This window comes from Homo sapiens, chromosome 14 (assembly GCF_000001405.40).
Source record: "Homo sapiens chromosome 14, GRCh38.p14 Primary Assembly".
NCBI lineage: Eukaryota > Metazoa > Chordata > Mammalia > Primates > Hominidae > Homo > Homo sapiens.
In genome coordinates, this window is record NC_000014.9 from 92803551 (window position 1) to 92820100 (window position 16550).

Genomic DNA, 16550 nt, shown 5'->3' on the forward strand with positions numbered 1-16550 from the left:
ACTATTGATTCAGTTGGCTTTTCATTTCTTCTTGAATCTGTTTTTGGTAAGTTACGTTTTTTTCCCCAAGAATTTGTCAATGTCATACACATTTTGAGGGGTTATACTTATTTAATTTCAGGAAAATAATGTAGGGGTCACAGCTGAAACTTTCAACGCAACCAAACATTAGTTATTCATACCAACCCTGCAAAAACCAATGCTTGATCATGCATACTGTGTGAAGAATATCAGTATCTGGCATATATTGAATCCTTACCCTGTTTCTGGCACTGCACTAAATGCCTGCTTTTTAAAACAGCTTTAATGAAGTATAATTCACATGCAATAAACTGCACGATAAGTATTGTGCAATTGATAGATTTCAGTATCTTGTACATTTTAAAATTTGATGGCCTAATGTTGTTTATATCTGTCCCAGGGAACCACTTTTGGTTATGCTGATCCTCTCTAGTATGTTTATTTCCTCTTTTGTTAATTTTTGCTTTCTTTGGGTTTGTTCTGCTGTTTTTATAGTTTTTAAGATGGATATACAACTCATTAGTTTTCTTCCTTCCTGCCTTTCATCTTTAATGTAACCAAGGCTATAAATTTCCTTCAGAATACTGCCTTAGATATCATCCCACATTTGGATATATACTTAATTTATTTTTTGAATTTTAATATTTTATTTTTTATATTATTTAAAAATTTTTTGTAGAGACGAGTTCTCACTGTATTGCCCGGGCTGGTCTCCAACTCCTGGACTCAGGCAGTCCTTTCTCCTCGGCCTCCCAAAGTGCTGGGATTACAGGCGTGAGCCACCACGCCTGGCCTACTTCATTTCTTTTTAAAATCTTTATTTTAGAAATTTCAAACATACCAAAATAGAACGTAATGACCTCCTATTATCCAACTACAGTAATCACTCATGGCCATTCATGTTTCATTTATACCCTCCCATTTCCCATCACTTTCTTCACCTGCACCCTCCGCACAATTAATTTGAAGCAAATCACAGATCTTATATCATTTTTTCTATAAACATTTCATTTTCTTACTCTAAAAATACTCTAAAAGCAAATGTTCACACCATTATCACCTTAAAAATGTAATAATTTCTTTCTTTTTTTTTTTTTTTTTTTGAGACAGGGTCTCACCTTTTGCCCAGGCTGGAGTGCAGTGGTGCAGTCTCAGCTCATTGCAACCTCTGCCTCCCAGGTTCAAGCGATTCTCCTGCCTCAGCCTCCGAAGTAGCTGAGATTACAGGCACCCGCCACCATGCCCAGCTAATTTTTAGTAGAAACAGGGTTTCACTATGTTGGCCAGGCTGGTCTCAAACTCCTGACCTTGTGATCCGCCTGCCTCAGCCTCCCAAAGTGCTGGGATTACAGGCGTGAGCCACCACGCCCTGCCAACACTCCCATTTTTAAGTCACGTCTTAGGTGCCCATTCCCTACCCCACTTGATTATTAGCTTTTTGTGGTTATTTTTTCTTTTAGGTAAAATGTACATATATTAAGATGCACACAAATCTTAGCTATATGACGAATGGCAATACCTGTGTAACCCACACCTTTACCGTGTTATAGATTTCCTTTGCCCCAGAAAGTTCCTCATGTTCCTTTCCACTTAATCTCCTCACCCCGTCCCTGAAAGCACCCAGTGCTCTGATTTTTCTCTCCTTAGTTTTGCTTGTTCTAAAACTTCATATAAATTGAATCATATAGTATATATACTTTCTAATCTGGCTTCTTTTACTGAACTGTTAGTGAGATTCATCCATGTTACTGTTCTTTTTTTATTCTGTTTTATTATGTAGTACTCTATTATACGGCTGTACCACAGTTTATCTATTCTCTTTTATGGACATTGGGTTTGTTTCCAGTTTTGGATTATTGTGAATAAAACTGCTATAAACATTTTTGTACTTGCTTTTTTGTGGGCAAATGTTTTCATTTCTCTTGTATAAATACCTAGGAGTGGAATTGCTGGGTGAAACGGTAGCTGCATGTTTAATTTCATAAGAAATTGTAAAACCTTTTCCCCCAGTGATTGTACCATTTTATAGTCCCACCAGCAGTGAGAGGTCTAGTTGCTCTGCAGTGTCACCAACATTTGGTGTTTTTAATTTTAGCCATTCTAGGGGGTGTCTGTTGGTTCTCATTGTGATTTTAATTTGCATTTCCTTGATGACTAAACATGTTCAGAACTTTTTCATTTGATTATTGATATTTGTTTATATAACCTTATAAAGTATCAAGTCTTTTACCCATATACTGATTGTTTTAGTCAGTTTTATTATTTAGATATATAGTTCATTTTCATCACATAATTTTTAGAGTAATTTAAAAGTATACTTGCATTATATTTAGTAACAAAAACAAGATTAATCTGAATTCATGTGTCTCTATCTCTTTGGGTAAGACATGTTAGATTCCAGTTTGATTAAAAAAAAAAAACAAAAAACCTTGTAGTGACCTGTTATTACTCTTCTTGCCTTGAAACCTGCAGCTACTCTATTGTGCCTTCCCAATTTTTCAGTATTTGAGACTTCTCCTGGTTTTTTTTCCCAAAAGCATTTTGGAGACAAAAGGAAATCCAAACCCATTTTACCTGAACCCAACCACTCACATGATCTCTGATGTTCTCCCCAGAATGGTGTTGTACTGTCTGTTGTCATTCATTCAGTGTATCCAGACTTGAGTATCCTTAGAGGTCCATATGCCCCATTTATGAGAATGAAATTTAATCAGAGGGAAGACTATTGAAAATTTGTTTATTTATGTATTTTTTTTGAGATGGAGTCTCGCTCTGTTGCCCAGGCTGGAGTGCAGTGGTGCAATCTTGGCTCACTGCAACACCTTTGGCCTCCCAGGCTCAAGTGATTCTCCTGCCTCAGCCTCCTGAGTAGCTGGCACTACAGGTGTGTGCCACCACACCTGGCTAATTTTTGTATTTTTGGTAGAGATGGGGTTTCACCGTGTTGGTCAGGCTGGTCTCAAACTCCTGACCTCAAGTGATCTCCCTGCCTCGGCCTCCCAAAATGCTGGGATTACAGGCATGAGCCACCGCGCCTAGCTGAGAATTTACTTTTTATGGTGTTTTAGCTGTAGCAGTCAACTTGAGCATCCTACCAAAGCAAGTTGTTAATGCATATGTGATGAACACGCCAATGTAACAAAAACGTATTCTTTTTTTTACAGAAGCTGCCAGTAACTCAGATTCTAGCCATGAAGGTCAAGAGGAATCTTCAAAGGAAAATGTGTCATCAAATGCTGCCTGCCCTGACCACACCCCAACACCTAATGATGATGGCAAATCACATGAACTGTCTAACCTTCGACTGGAGAATCAGCTGCTGAGGAATGAAGTTCAGTCTTTAAATCAAGAAATGGCCTCGTTACTCCAAAGATCCAAAGAGACTCAAGAAGGTAGAGGCTTAAATTGTTCAGGATTAGGAATTTAACTTTTAAAAATAAACTTAAGGCTGGACGCAGTGGCTCGTGCCTGTAATCCCAGCACTTTGGGAGGCCGAGGCGGGCGGATTGCCTGAGGTCAGGAGTTCAAGACCAGTCTGGCCAACATGGTGAAACCCTGTGTCTACTAAAAATACAAAAAAATTAGTCAGATGTGGTTGCAGGCACCTGTAATCCCAGCCACTCAGGAGGCTGAGGCAGGGGAGTTGCTTGAACCAGGGAGGTGGAGGTTGCAGTGAACCGAGATTGCACTACTGCACTCTAGTCTGGGCAGCAGAGCAAGACTCTATCTCAAAAATAAATAAATAAAAATAAAATAAAATAATAAACTTAAAAACTTTAAACTGTTAGAAATATTTACATTTAAACTGTGAGAAATTAGATGCGACTTGTAAAATGATATTTTCATAGAAAAACTGCCCAGATTTGGAAATGGGACCAGTCATCCTCCCACCAACCCAAAACATAAGAGTATTCGCTTCTTTGGTCATCCTTTAAGAACCATGAAATTGAAGAACTGAGAGGAACAAACTAGTAGTAGTCTAGTTCATTCATTTATTCTGAACTTTCAAGGGAAGCTGTTCCATTAAACAAAGTAGTAGGCACTAATAGAGTTGCAGTGTTGCTGCTCTAGGGCATATAAAAGGTACATGGAATTCAGTTCAGTGCCCTTGGGAATTGTGCAGTGAGGTGGCCCTGGAGTAGAAAACCTCAAGTTCCTCAGAAATAGGTAATTAAGAAGGAAATAATCTCATTATGGAGGTAGTGACTGAGGAAGATGTGAATGTTATTGTAAGTGTGGCTGAGAAGAAAACGAGTGACAAAATTGCTGCCTTGGTTCCTGGGGCTAATTAGAAAGGAGTGAGGGGATGGTGGGAAAAGTTTTGCCAAGCCATGGATAGAGCCTAGAAGAGAGGAAAGGGAAGATAGTTGAAGACTCACTAAGCTAGGCGTGGTGGCTCACGCCTGTAATCCCAACACTTTGGGAGGCCGAGGCGGGCGGATCACAAGGTCAGGAGTTCAAGACCAGTCTGGCCAACATGGTGAAACCCGTCTCTACTAAAAATACAAAAAAATTAGCTGGGCATGGTGGCGCGTGCCTGTTATTCCAGCTACTCAGGAGGCTGAGGGAGGAGAATTGCCTGAACCCAGACCCAGGACCCAGGAGGTGGAGGTTGCAGTGAGCCGAGATCGTGCCACTGCATTCCAGCCTGAGCTACAGAGCGAGACTCGTCTCAACAACAACAACAACAACAACAAAAACAAAGTACTCACTAGTCAGGCTGACTTTAGAAAAAGCTTTACTTTACCCACACTAATTTAGACATAGAAATAGAGCTGTTTGGCCAGGCACAGTGAGTCACGCCTGTAATCCCAGCGCTTTGGAAGGCTGAGATGGGAAAATTGCTGAAGCCAGGAGTTCAATAACAGCATGGGCAACAGAGTGAGACCCCTGGGCTACAAAAATCAATTTTTTTTTGTTTTAAATTAGCTGAATATGGTGGTGTACACCTGTAGGCTGAGCTACTTTGGAGACTGAGGTGGGAGGATTGCTTGAGCCCAGGAGTTGGAGGTTGCAGTGAGTCATGGGCCATGATCATGCCACTGCACTCCAGCCGGGGCAACAGAGTGAGGCTCTGTCTCATGTTTTTGGGTTTTTTTTTTTTTCTTTAAGAAAGGTGTGTCTCACTGGAAAAAAAAAAAAAGCTTTGAGACCCTATAAAGTTTGATTCAGTATTTTTAAAATGTTGTGGTGGCTAACTGCAATTACATATGGTATGTGAGGGTATGGAAATGCCATTGTATTCTGAAATAGAGCACTACTTTGCTCTTTTTGCATTGATTTCCTAGGTCAAAAGAATAACATCTTTTTGCAACAGTAATTGAAAGCAATAGATTCTTTTCTGTGTTTAGGTTTTGTTTTGTTCTTACTAGGATGTACCTTTGATTTGGATTTGCATTCCTTTCCCTGTCACTAGCAGAACTTTACAAAATATACTCTGCTATCTATTAATACTAGTTTCGGCTCCCAGATGCTTTATCATATAGAAACAGCATTGTAGAAGAGCAGCTAGCTTCACGCCCCTTTCTAATCAATTAACTATAATCTAGCTGTGAATATTGCCCTTGAAAAGTGGATGACCCTTTGGGGCAAAGAAAATTGAAGACGTGTAAGTTCCCAATTTTGTCAATAAGGAAAGTACTAAAGGCACTCAAAGTAGAAACTGTACGTGCTCTGAGAAAAATGTGTTTGGTTTTGCTTGTATAGAGAAATTTAAATTTTTTAATAGAATTAAACAAAGCAAGAGCAAGAGTTGAAAAGTGGAATGCTGACCATTCAAAGAGTGATCGAATGACTCGAGGACTCCGAGCCCAAGTAGATGACCTGACTGAAGCTGTGGCTGCAAAGGATTCCCAGCTGGCTGTACTGAAAGTGAGACTCCAGGAAGCTGACCAGCTACTGAGTACTCGCACAGAAGCATTAGAAGCCTTACAGAGTGAAAAATCACGGTAGGTGATTCTATGAATAATGAAAAAAATGAGCAAGTAATGGTAAACATTGTAGTGTATCCACTTATGAAACTTAGCTTTCTTGGAAATTTACAAGAGGGAATATTTCTTTTGGTAGTGTTAGAAATGTGTATGATTAAAATGGATTCATTGGCTGGGCGTGGTGGCTCAAGCCTGTAATCCTAGCACTTTGGGAAGCCGAGGCAGGTGGATCACCTGAGGTTGGGAGTTCGAGACCAGCCTGACCAACATGGAGAAACCCCGTCTCTACTAAAAATACAGAAAAAAAATTAGCCGGGGGTGGTGGCACATGCCTGTAATCCCAGCTACTCAGGAGGCGAGGCAGCAGAATCACTTGAACCCAGGAGGTGGAGGTTGCAGTGAGCTGAGATTGTGCCATTGCACTCCAGCCTGGGCAAAAAGAGCGAAACTCCATCTCAACAACAACAACATAAAATGGATTCATTGTTTGAACCTTGAGATGCATTGTTAGCAAATTCTGAATTTAAAAGCATTTGTTGTGTCATTAATCTTTCATTATACGGTATGTACTTAATATTTGGATGCCTAAAAATGTAGATTATGTTCCATTAGAAAGGAAAGATTTATCTAAGAATATTTCAGTCAAATTATCTTTTTTGTGCTTGACTAAAGCTGACGCTCTAAAAATTATTCTGCCTTATCACTTGTACACTGTAGACATGAGTTATTTCACATGATGCATTTTCCTTTAGAATAATGCAGGATCAAAGTGAAGGTAACAGCCTGCAGAATCAAGCTCTGCAGACTTTTCAGGAGAGACTGCATGAAGCGGATGCCACTCTGAAGAGAGAGCAGGAGAGCTATAAACAGATGCAGGTTAGAATGAGAGACAGCAGATTCCTATTGTTACTTGGACACGGAAAAAATGACTTTATGCTGTTTCATAGCACATTAACTGTCTAATATAATTCTGCAATGCATTTCAGAAAATTCTGTTTCTGTGACAAAAATCAGATATTTGAAAATTTAGCTTGATCCTTGCTAAATGTATTTAATTTTATGTGTTGAGAGACAATTAAAATAGTTAATGTGCATTAGAGATATACATCTTTTACTTAATTTTTGCAACAATCATTGTCATTATTTGATTAAATGCTAATGGTTGGGGGATCGTATTTGTTTTTTATTAATTTAAGTTTTTCTGATTCCAGATTAATCTGGCTCATTTATTTCAGGAGAAAATTGTATGTAATATGTAAAGAGTTTTACTCTTAGATGAATATTTGCATTTAGTTCAGTCCCAGCCCTGTCTACACGTGGGAATCACTTGTGTGATACCTTGTGCTGTCTGAGCTCCATATGCAGTCACATTCCATTGTATGAGGTAGGGACTAGGTATTGACACTTTGGTTTTAGAAGGTTCACAGGTGTATCTAATGAGCAGTCAGGGTTGCAAACCACTGGTCTGGGCTAGCTTTTCAACAGGTGAAAGTAATTCAGTCCTGAAAGTAAATATCAGGTAGTGTGTGTCTCTTAATTTTAACACAATATATCCAAAGTATTAATTATTTCAATATGTAGTCAATATTAAAAGTTATTAATGAGATATTTTACATTATTTTTTGAATACTGGTTCTTTAAAATATGGTGTAATTTACACCTATTTATTTACTTATTAAATTGGAAACAGTTGATCAGCTAGTATCAGACCAGACCTAGTATCCAAGTGACCAGGTTCACCTGGGAAATTTCTTAAAAAACAGATTCCCAGACCCATCTTGAAAATTCCAGTTTAGTAAGCTTGGGAAAGGCCTTGGATGGCTATATTTTTAACAAACTTCCTGGTTGATTTTAATGCATTGCCATGTTTGGGAGTTACAACTTTACATTTCCTATACTTTAGCTCCTAACAAATTAAGAATTTTTTCCCATCCCTACTATGTTGTTTGGCTGAGCTAATAAATCCCATAAGATATCCGAATGGATGGTTGTAAAATATGTTTCAAAGCTAAATGATATCATTAATTATGATATAAAAATTTGTCACAGAGCGAGTTTGCTGCACGCCTTAATAAAGTGGAAATGGAACGTCAGAATTTAGCAGAAGCAATTACACTGGCCGAAAGAAAATACTCAGATGAGAAGAAGAGGGTTGATGAACTGCAGCAGCAAGTCAAGCTGTATAAGTTGAACTTGGAGTCCTCTAAGCAGGAATTAATTGACTACAAGCAAAAAGCTACTAGAATACTGCAAGTAAGCATGAAATGTACACTTTTGGATGTTAAGATGTGCAAGTTAACTGAAAGGCAATTTGAGACTGTGTAGATACTGTGTGAGGTGCTTTGTTCATGTTCGTCTGATTGGCTAGCTTTAGGTGCCTTACTCTACTTTAGAAATTTTATTAAAGGATGCAGTGTTTCTTGTTCCTACCACTTCTTTTAAAAAAAAAATTCATTCTGCCACTGCCTAGTTCAGGTCTTCAACCTGTCACCTTACTCACTGTGATGATATTAATGCTTGTTGTTGAGCAGCTGTTTATTCTTCCTTGTTGATCTCCTATTGAATTTTTGCAGCAACTGCTTTAGGACTCATCCAGTTCTCAGAATTGTCTCACCCAGCTTTTTTTCCCCTCCTTCAGATCTAAGGTGATCTTACCCTCTACTTTACTAAGAAAGACTACAGTCATCTAATGTCGTTTTTGAATTCTCTTTCCTTTGTCCCTCAGAGGGAAAACATGTCCTTTCATTTTTTTCTAGGATCATTTTCCTGCCTGTGCATTGATTCCATCTCCCATCTCATGTGTAAGCCCTTTCTCCATAGATCTATGCCCTTCCTTCCTGTGTGTGCCTCTCTGCTGCTGCTGCCTTCTGGCTCAGCTTACTCAAGAGCACATGGTTATTTAGTGGAAAAATGAAGACTAGATCTCGGACTCCTGCCTAAGAGAAAAACAGTCTCTTTTAGCTTTGTGACCACTTTGCACTATTTCCCTATCTTCCTTTCTTTCAGTGTCATGCTTACCAGAATTGTGTACGTGCTGTCTTCATTTCTGTAGAACTTGTTAACTCTTATCTCCTTCTTTTCCTACTACATGTCTGAAATTTCTTCTCAAAAATATTTGATGACCTAAATAAATATTCTCTGTCCTTTTCTTAGTCTCCATACCTTGTATTTTGGTAGAACATTTGGCTCTGTTAACCCTCCCACTTCCTTGGAACTCCTGCCTTCTATGCTATTCACATCTCCTTGGCTCTCTTTTTGTCCTCTTCTACTGCTGTTTCTGTCTCTCTTGGGCGCTCTTCCCAATCTCCAAAGAGTCAGAGTCCTCCTAAGCTCTGTCCTGAACCCTCTTTCATTGTCCTTTCTTACCTTGCACTGCTGTATGCTGCCTCTGCTTCTAATAGCCGCCTGCATATGACTTCAAGCATGTTTCCAAGCCTGACCTCCTGACCTCAGTGCCCAGCTGCCTACTGTGCAGGCATGGAGTGTTCAGCTCCCAGACCAACTTCTCCCTCATTCTTCTGTTCTGGTCAACGTTACTGCCATGTGGCAGTAAAGCTTGAAACCTCAGGGTCATTTTTGACTTTACCTTTTTTCTTTAGTCTCAAACTTCTAATGGCTATGAATACCTTTTTTTAATGCTACTTCCATGAAGTATCATATTGATCTCCTCCTCAAACTCTTCTTTCTAAGTACTTTTTTGTATCACCCTAATTTGTTAATTCATTGAAAAGTTACTTATTGAGCACCTAACTACTCACTAGGCACAGAGGATACAAAGCTCAAAAGATGTGTCCTCTTCCTTTAAGAAAACATTCATCTTAGTGGAAAGAAACAGATAATTGACGTAATAAGGTTATTAATGCAGTACAATGGGAGCTTGAGAGAAGAATCCCTTAAAACTTGCCTGAGGCTGTCAAAGATCACTGGACTGAGGAGATGTGGTATAAAGAGAAACTTGAAAGATGAATAGGAAGACTCATGATAGGGAAGAGATTTCCGAGAGAACAACCTGTGCCAGAGCAAGGGGGCCAGAGAGAACATGGCATATTTAAGGGACTGCAGCTAGTTCCATACTGCTGGAACATAACGTCTTCAGAGATGGGAGGCAAAAGACTCATAAAGTTCAACGGCAGGCAGAAGCCATGGTCAGGTTTGAGTGTGAGAACTGTGGCAGCCTGATGAAAAGGTTAGGGGAGATTTGGGCCTCTGTCTTGTTCATCGTTGTATCCCCAGCACAGTGCCTGGTATTCGGTACATTGTTGAAAACATGGAAGTGATAAGGGGTGGCATCAATGGCATGTAGATGGTGAAGAGGTGATCATAAGAAATAATGAGGACCTGATCAAAGTTTTTGGCAGTGAGGATGGCAGGCAGGGGACAGCTAAGAGATATGTGGGAGATAGAATATATGACATGTGGAGATTTAACTGGAAGGATGGGGGAAAAAGGCAAATGGAATCCAGGATGACTCCAGGTTTTTGGTTTAAGTGTATGAATGATGTTTCCTTGTGTTAATAAAAGGGGAAACAGGAAAGAGAACAGGTTAGGGTTAAAGGAGAGTATGACGAATTATGGTAAGTATGCAAAATTGATGCAACATTGAGGTGACAATGTTAGAAAGGTAATTAGAAGTAAGTTGGGAGAGTAGGTAAGTTTAGGCAAGAGCGATGTGTAACCTAACGGGGAGAAAGGCTGAGGTCTAAAAACACAGTCTTAAACATCAGCATTTACAAATTGGGCAAAAGGATAGCCTGCAAAAGAAAAATACTGAGAAGGTGAGTGGTCAGAGATTGGAGAGAACCAGGAGGAGACTGATGCCATCCAATGAAGCCAAGCAGAGGGAGAGTTTCAAGTGGTGCATGATCACCAACCACAGCACGCGGCTCTGATGTGACAAGTCCCGAGCTAAATTCCTGGACTTGGCAACTAGGAGGTCCCTGGGGACCTCTCAACAGAGAGTTCCGGGGTGCGCTGGGAGCTGAAGACATGGAGGCAGGGTACTTGACCATGGACATGAGGACAGTAGCTAGATGGGGGAATGAGGTTGGGAGGTTTCTGGTTTTTTATTAAAAAAAATCTTAAAATGTTATAAATGATCATGTTTATTATAGAAAATTTGAAGAATACAAAAGAAGTTTGAAGAAGGAAATGGAAATAACCCATAATCCTACCACCCAGAAAAGGAAAAATTATTTTTGATGGAGGAGAATGACTTTAAAATATTTTAATTTAACGTGAAAGCTGCTGGTCCTTGTTGTTCCTAGTCTAGAATTAGGACTTTATAAACTGGTCTTTGCATGTCAAATCTCTTCTTCAAACTCATCTTTTATCTCAGGGGTCAGAAAACATTGAGAGGGTCAAATAGTAAATATTGTAGGCTATGTTGGCTACCTGTAGTCTCCATCACATATTCTTTGTCTTTATTATTTATGATCCTTTTAAAATGTAAAAAAAAAATTTAGCTTGCAGGCTGTACAAAAACAGGCCCACGGACCATCATTTGTGAGCACCTTCTTCATAGCACTGCCAGGTTAGCCTCCTAAAATGCATCTCTAGTCATGTCACTCCTCTCTCTACTTTTTGGTAATTTGTTTTAGCCTGCCATATAATATTAAAACATTTTAGCCTGAGATCAGGAGCCCCTCCAAATTGGTGCTAAAATACTATCTGAGCTGCATCTCACATTATTTTCTTACAGACTTTGTGTGCTTTTGCATTTTTATGCTTTGCTCTCTGTTTTTCTCTGCACTTTAAAAAAGTCTACCCATATTTCAAGGCCAACATTTATGCTCTCTTAAAGTCTCCTCTTACCCAGAAGTGGTTTTTCCTCTCAGAACTCTGCAAGTAATCTGACCATATCCTTTTCTCTACTTGTGTTGATTGCCTTCTGCTGGATACTTGTAACTTCTCTTTTAGTTTGTAAGGCAGAGGGTACTATCTATAGAGAGAGACATTATCTTTATTGCGCAGAACACTTAGCACCATTTACTTGTTGGGTAGAATGTGTTGGAAAATAAAAACTATGAGAAGAAAATGTGAGAAAAGTCTTGTTTGGCCAGGTGTGATGGCTCACTCCTGCAATCCCAGCACTTTGGGAGGCTGAGGCAGGAGAATTCCTGGAGGCCAGGAGTTCAAGACCGGCCTGGGCAACATAGCAAGACCGTATCTCAAATAAATAAACACAAATTTTTTTTAATCTTTTTTTTTTTTTTTTTTTTTTTAGACGGAGTCTGGCTCTGTCACCCAGGCTGGAGTGCGGTGGCGCGATCTCGGCTCACTGCAAGCTCCGCCTCCCGGGTTCACGCCATTCTTCTGCCTCAGCCTCCCTAGTAGCTGGGACTACAGGCACCTGCCACCATGCCTGGCTAATTTTTTTTGTATTTTTAGTAGAGACGGGGTTTCACCATATTAGCCAGGATGGTCTCGACCTCCTGACCTCGTGATCCGCCCGCCTCAGCCTCCCAAAGTGCTGGGATTACAGGCGTGAGCCACCGCACCCAGCTGGAAAAAAAAAATCTTATTCATAACAAGCTTTCAACTTTACCATGATTGTGGGGCTAAAGTCCAAGGACATTATACAGCAAGGCTCTGTTGTGTTTTTTATCCTTAGGGATTTAAGAAAATCTGTGGACTTTCTTTGATGGAGATAATGGAATTTTTTTTAGTGGGTTATTTTCTGTATAGTAGATGATATTCAATATACAAACTAATCTCTGCTTTGCTTAAACATATTTCTTCTTTTATAATAGTCTAAGGAAAAATTGATTAACAGCTTGAAAGAAGGCTCTGGTTTTGAAGGCCTAGATAGCAGCACTGCCAGTAGCATGGAGCTGGAAGAACTTCGGCATGAGAAAGAGATGCAGAGGGAGGAAATACAGAAGCTGATGGGCCAGATACATCAGCTCAGATCCGAATTACAGGTAAGATTCATGGTGGTTCAGCTTAGTAGACACCATTTACCCTCAGGTGTTAACAGTTTGAGAGGTGGGGAAACAGCATTACTAAAGCGATAGGTTTCTCGCTTCTCTTCGCTTCGCTTCGCTTCTCTTCTCTTCCTCCTCCTCTTCCTCTTCTCTTCTTTTGGAGTCAGGATCTTGCTCTGTCTCCCAGCCTGGAGTGGTGTGATCATAGCTCACTGCAGCCTCGAACTCCTGGGCTCAAGCAGTCTTCCCGCCTCAGGCTCCCAAGTAGGTGGAACTACAGGCACATGCCATCACGCCCAGCTAATTTTTATATTTTGTAGAGACAGGGTATCCCTGTGTTGTCCAAGCTGGTCCCAAACTCCTGGCCTCAAGTGATTGTCCCTCCTCAGCCTCCCAGAGTGCTGGGATTGCAGGGCTGTTGCAGCCCGTGCTGGGCTAAAGCAGTAGGTTTCTTTCTTTCTTTCTTTCCTTTCTTTCCTTTCTCTCCTTTCTTTCCTTCCTTTCTTTCCTTTCTTTCCTTCTTTTTTTTGAGATGGAGTCTCGGTCTGTTGCCCAGGCTGGAGTGCAGTGGCGTGATCTCGGCTCACTGCAACCTCCACTCCACCTGCCAGGTTCCAGGGATTCTCCTGCCTCAGCCTCTTGAGTAGCTGGGATTACAGACGTGCGCCACCACACCTGGCTAATTTTTGTATTCTTAGTAGAGATGGGGTTTCACCATGTTGCCCAGGCTGGTCTTGAACTCCTGACCTCAAGTGATCCGCCCACCTCGGCCTCCCAAAGTGCTGAGATTAGAGACGTGAGCCACCATGCCCGACCAGGTTTCTAATCCATAAGTTGACCATAAAGTTATGGTGATAAAAAACAGATCAATTCATTCAACAAATAGTTACCAAGTGCCTGCCATGTGCCTAGGTTTGGAATTAGAACAGGGTCTTCATAATTATAGATCTTACATTCTAGTGGTTAAAAGCAAATCAGATTTGAGCTCCTATGTGAAGCTGAGATGTTTTCTAATATTAGTATGGGCTCAGGGATGATCTTCTAATTACAGTTTTATCCTTATTCTTATAATTTATAGTTTATGTATAATTACTATATTTAAAAGTAAAGTTGGGCCATTTATTTTGCTTAAACTTCGGGGTCTTTGACATAAATATCGTAGGAAGGAGTCTCTGAAGGTGAGAGAAGATAAAGTGCAGCATAACGAGCTTCCTTTTCTTAAAAGGAAGAAACTTTTTGTAGAGAATGTTCATCCATGCATTAACTCTGCACATTGTGAGACTTGTGAACTACAAAAGAAAGCGTGAAAGTTGTGAGAATAGGATACCTTGTCTAGAGCATAGACTTGAATAGCAGACAGACGTGGATAGATTCTGTCTTTGGTACTTAACAGATGCTGCTTCCACAAGGCACTTCATCTTGCGGAGCTTTAATTTTCTCATCTATAGAATGCAGGTAAACAAAGGTTCTCTTGACAATAAAGGATAATATATGAAGAGCCTAGCATTGTTTCTGACATGTAATAGACCCTCAGTTAAATAATAGCTGCTATTATTTCTGGGTTTATTGTTATTCATTAAAGTAGGATTTTTTTTTTAATCTGTGAATTTGAATTCCAAAGAATTCAGTCCTGCAAACTTAGAAATTGGGTAGATGCTAAACTTACTCATATCTGTTCATGTCTTTTTGGTGAGATTATGAAAAATACTTGTTTTATTTAATATATCAGCATCATTAATGACATTGACCCATTTTCTTACCCTTCTCAAAATTTATGCAATGTATAATAAGTGTTAGGTCTAACAAAATGAAAGAATTGTAAATAATTACAATAGCTATTGTTTACTGAGCACGTATGTTCCAGATACTGCACAGAGCACTTAACATATATCCTTACATTTATTCCTTACCATAACTCTGTGAGGGAGATGATGATATTCTCATTTTATAGTTGAAGAAATTTAGGCATGGAGAAGGAAAGTAACTTGCTGCAAGACTAGTAAAGTGGCAGAGCCAGGATTAGAACCTAGTCTAACTCCAGGACATGTTTTTGACCACTGTGCATACTGCCTGCCTCTCAAGAATTTGCCCGATGTAGTCAAATTGATGACAAAGATTAATCTACCTTCTGCTAACCTGAAAACTCAAAGGTAGGGAAAAATAGTTGTCATTATTGCTTTTTCCTCTAAATCTACAAAGTTGTGTGAGTTCAGAGGATTGCACTGTGATTATCTGGGCATCTTGTTAGTCTTAGTTCTTTCAAACAGCATGTGAAGTTCCAAGGTTTGTGGTGATGAGTATGAAACAGAATGTACCAACAGATAAAAAAGCAAAAATAAGATGCTGATTTTAATCTTCTGTTGTGCCATATGAATGGACTCATGCTTAATCCATTTGGGGAAAATATAGAAACCTAGAGCCATGTTTTTGCTACTAGGAGATTTGACAGGAAATCCAGAAGGTGAGTTCAAAGAAATGAGAGTAAGAAACATAAGAACATGTAAAAACCAATAATAGTAATAAAGTAATAAAGCTAAAAGAAGAAAATTATATGCCAACTTCTGGTGATATGCAAGACAAGTTATATTCTTATCATATGTTGATTACTGGGGAACAGATGCACACCAAAACTAATTATAACCTGCAATTTCAGGGGACTAATGCAGTGAAGTCCTTTGTGCTATTATGTTTCTGATTTTTTTTGAAACTGTTAGCTTTTGAGTAAAGATATAAGTCTCCCAGTGAGCCTCTGCCGATACTCGTGAAACCACATGGCTTATGTGCTGCAGCAGCTGTAGCGCCCCATTCATTCTGCTGTTAGCCATAGTAGACAATGAAGGTGTCAGGTTATATGCTCCCTATAGGCTGAAACCATGTCTCATTCACCTTTATTCCTCAGTGCCTCCTGAGCCCAGCACATAGTAATTGCATGGTAGACAGGTTGTGTGGCTCAACACCTGTAATCCCAGTGCTGTGGGAGGATTGTTTGAGGCCAGGACTTTGCAACCAGCCTGTGCAATAAAGCCATATCCCATCTCTTAAAAAAAAAAAAAAAAACTTAAGCCAGGCCTCGTGGCATGTGCCTGTAGTCCCGCTACTCGGGAGGCTGATGTGGGAGGATCCCCTTGAGCCCAGGAGTTTGAGGCTGCCATGAACTGTGATTGTGCCACTGCACTCCAGCCTGGGTGACGTGAGACTCTGATTCTTAAAAAAGAAAAATTGCTCAATAAATGTTGAACTGAATGTTAATTATTGCTTTTACATGTAAGCTTTTTCTCTTTAGGATATGGAGGCACAGCAAGTTAATGAAGCAGAATCAGCAAGAGAACAGTTACAGGATCTGCATGACCAAATAGCTGGGCAGAAAGCATCCAAACAAGAACTAGAGACAGAACTGGAGCGACTGAAGCAGGTCAGGATTTGAGATTGATGACTTCTGAGACTCTGTCCTCTAGCGGTCATATGAGCAGACCTCCCAGGAAAGCAGCTTACTGAAATTTTTAGAGTATGGGCTTAGGGTTACCCCACAAGTTCCTCCTGCCTTCCCATCTCATCTGAAGGGGTGGCCTGCCCCTCCACACCTGTGGGTATATCTCATCAGGTGGGATGAGAGACTGAGAAAAGAAATAAGACACAGAGACAAAGTATAGAGAAAGAACAGTGGGCCCAGGAGACC

At 40.0% G+C, this 16550-nt stretch overlaps 1 protein-coding gene across 3 annotated transcripts in view; it reads left to right on the forward strand.

The window, feature by feature from the left end:
- Nucleotides 1-16550, forward strand: part of GOLGA5 (golgin A5) — a 45643-nt gene that overhangs the window by 9246 nt on the left and 19847 nt on the right. For all 3 annotated transcript variants that reach the window (XM_047432021.1, NM_005113.4, XM_011537420.4), the window contains exons 3-8: nucleotides 3186-3413; nucleotides 5750-5969; nucleotides 6704-6827; nucleotides 8001-8204; nucleotides 12701-12871; nucleotides 16158-16286. In XM_047432021.1, the coding sequence (XP_047287977.1) occupies nucleotides 3186-3413; nucleotides 5750-5969; nucleotides 6704-6827; nucleotides 8001-8204; nucleotides 12701-12871; nucleotides 16158-16286 (1076 nt within the window). The remainder of the gene's footprint in view (nucleotides 1-3185; nucleotides 3414-5749; nucleotides 5970-6703; nucleotides 6828-8000; nucleotides 8205-12700; nucleotides 12872-16157; nucleotides 16287-16550) is intronic.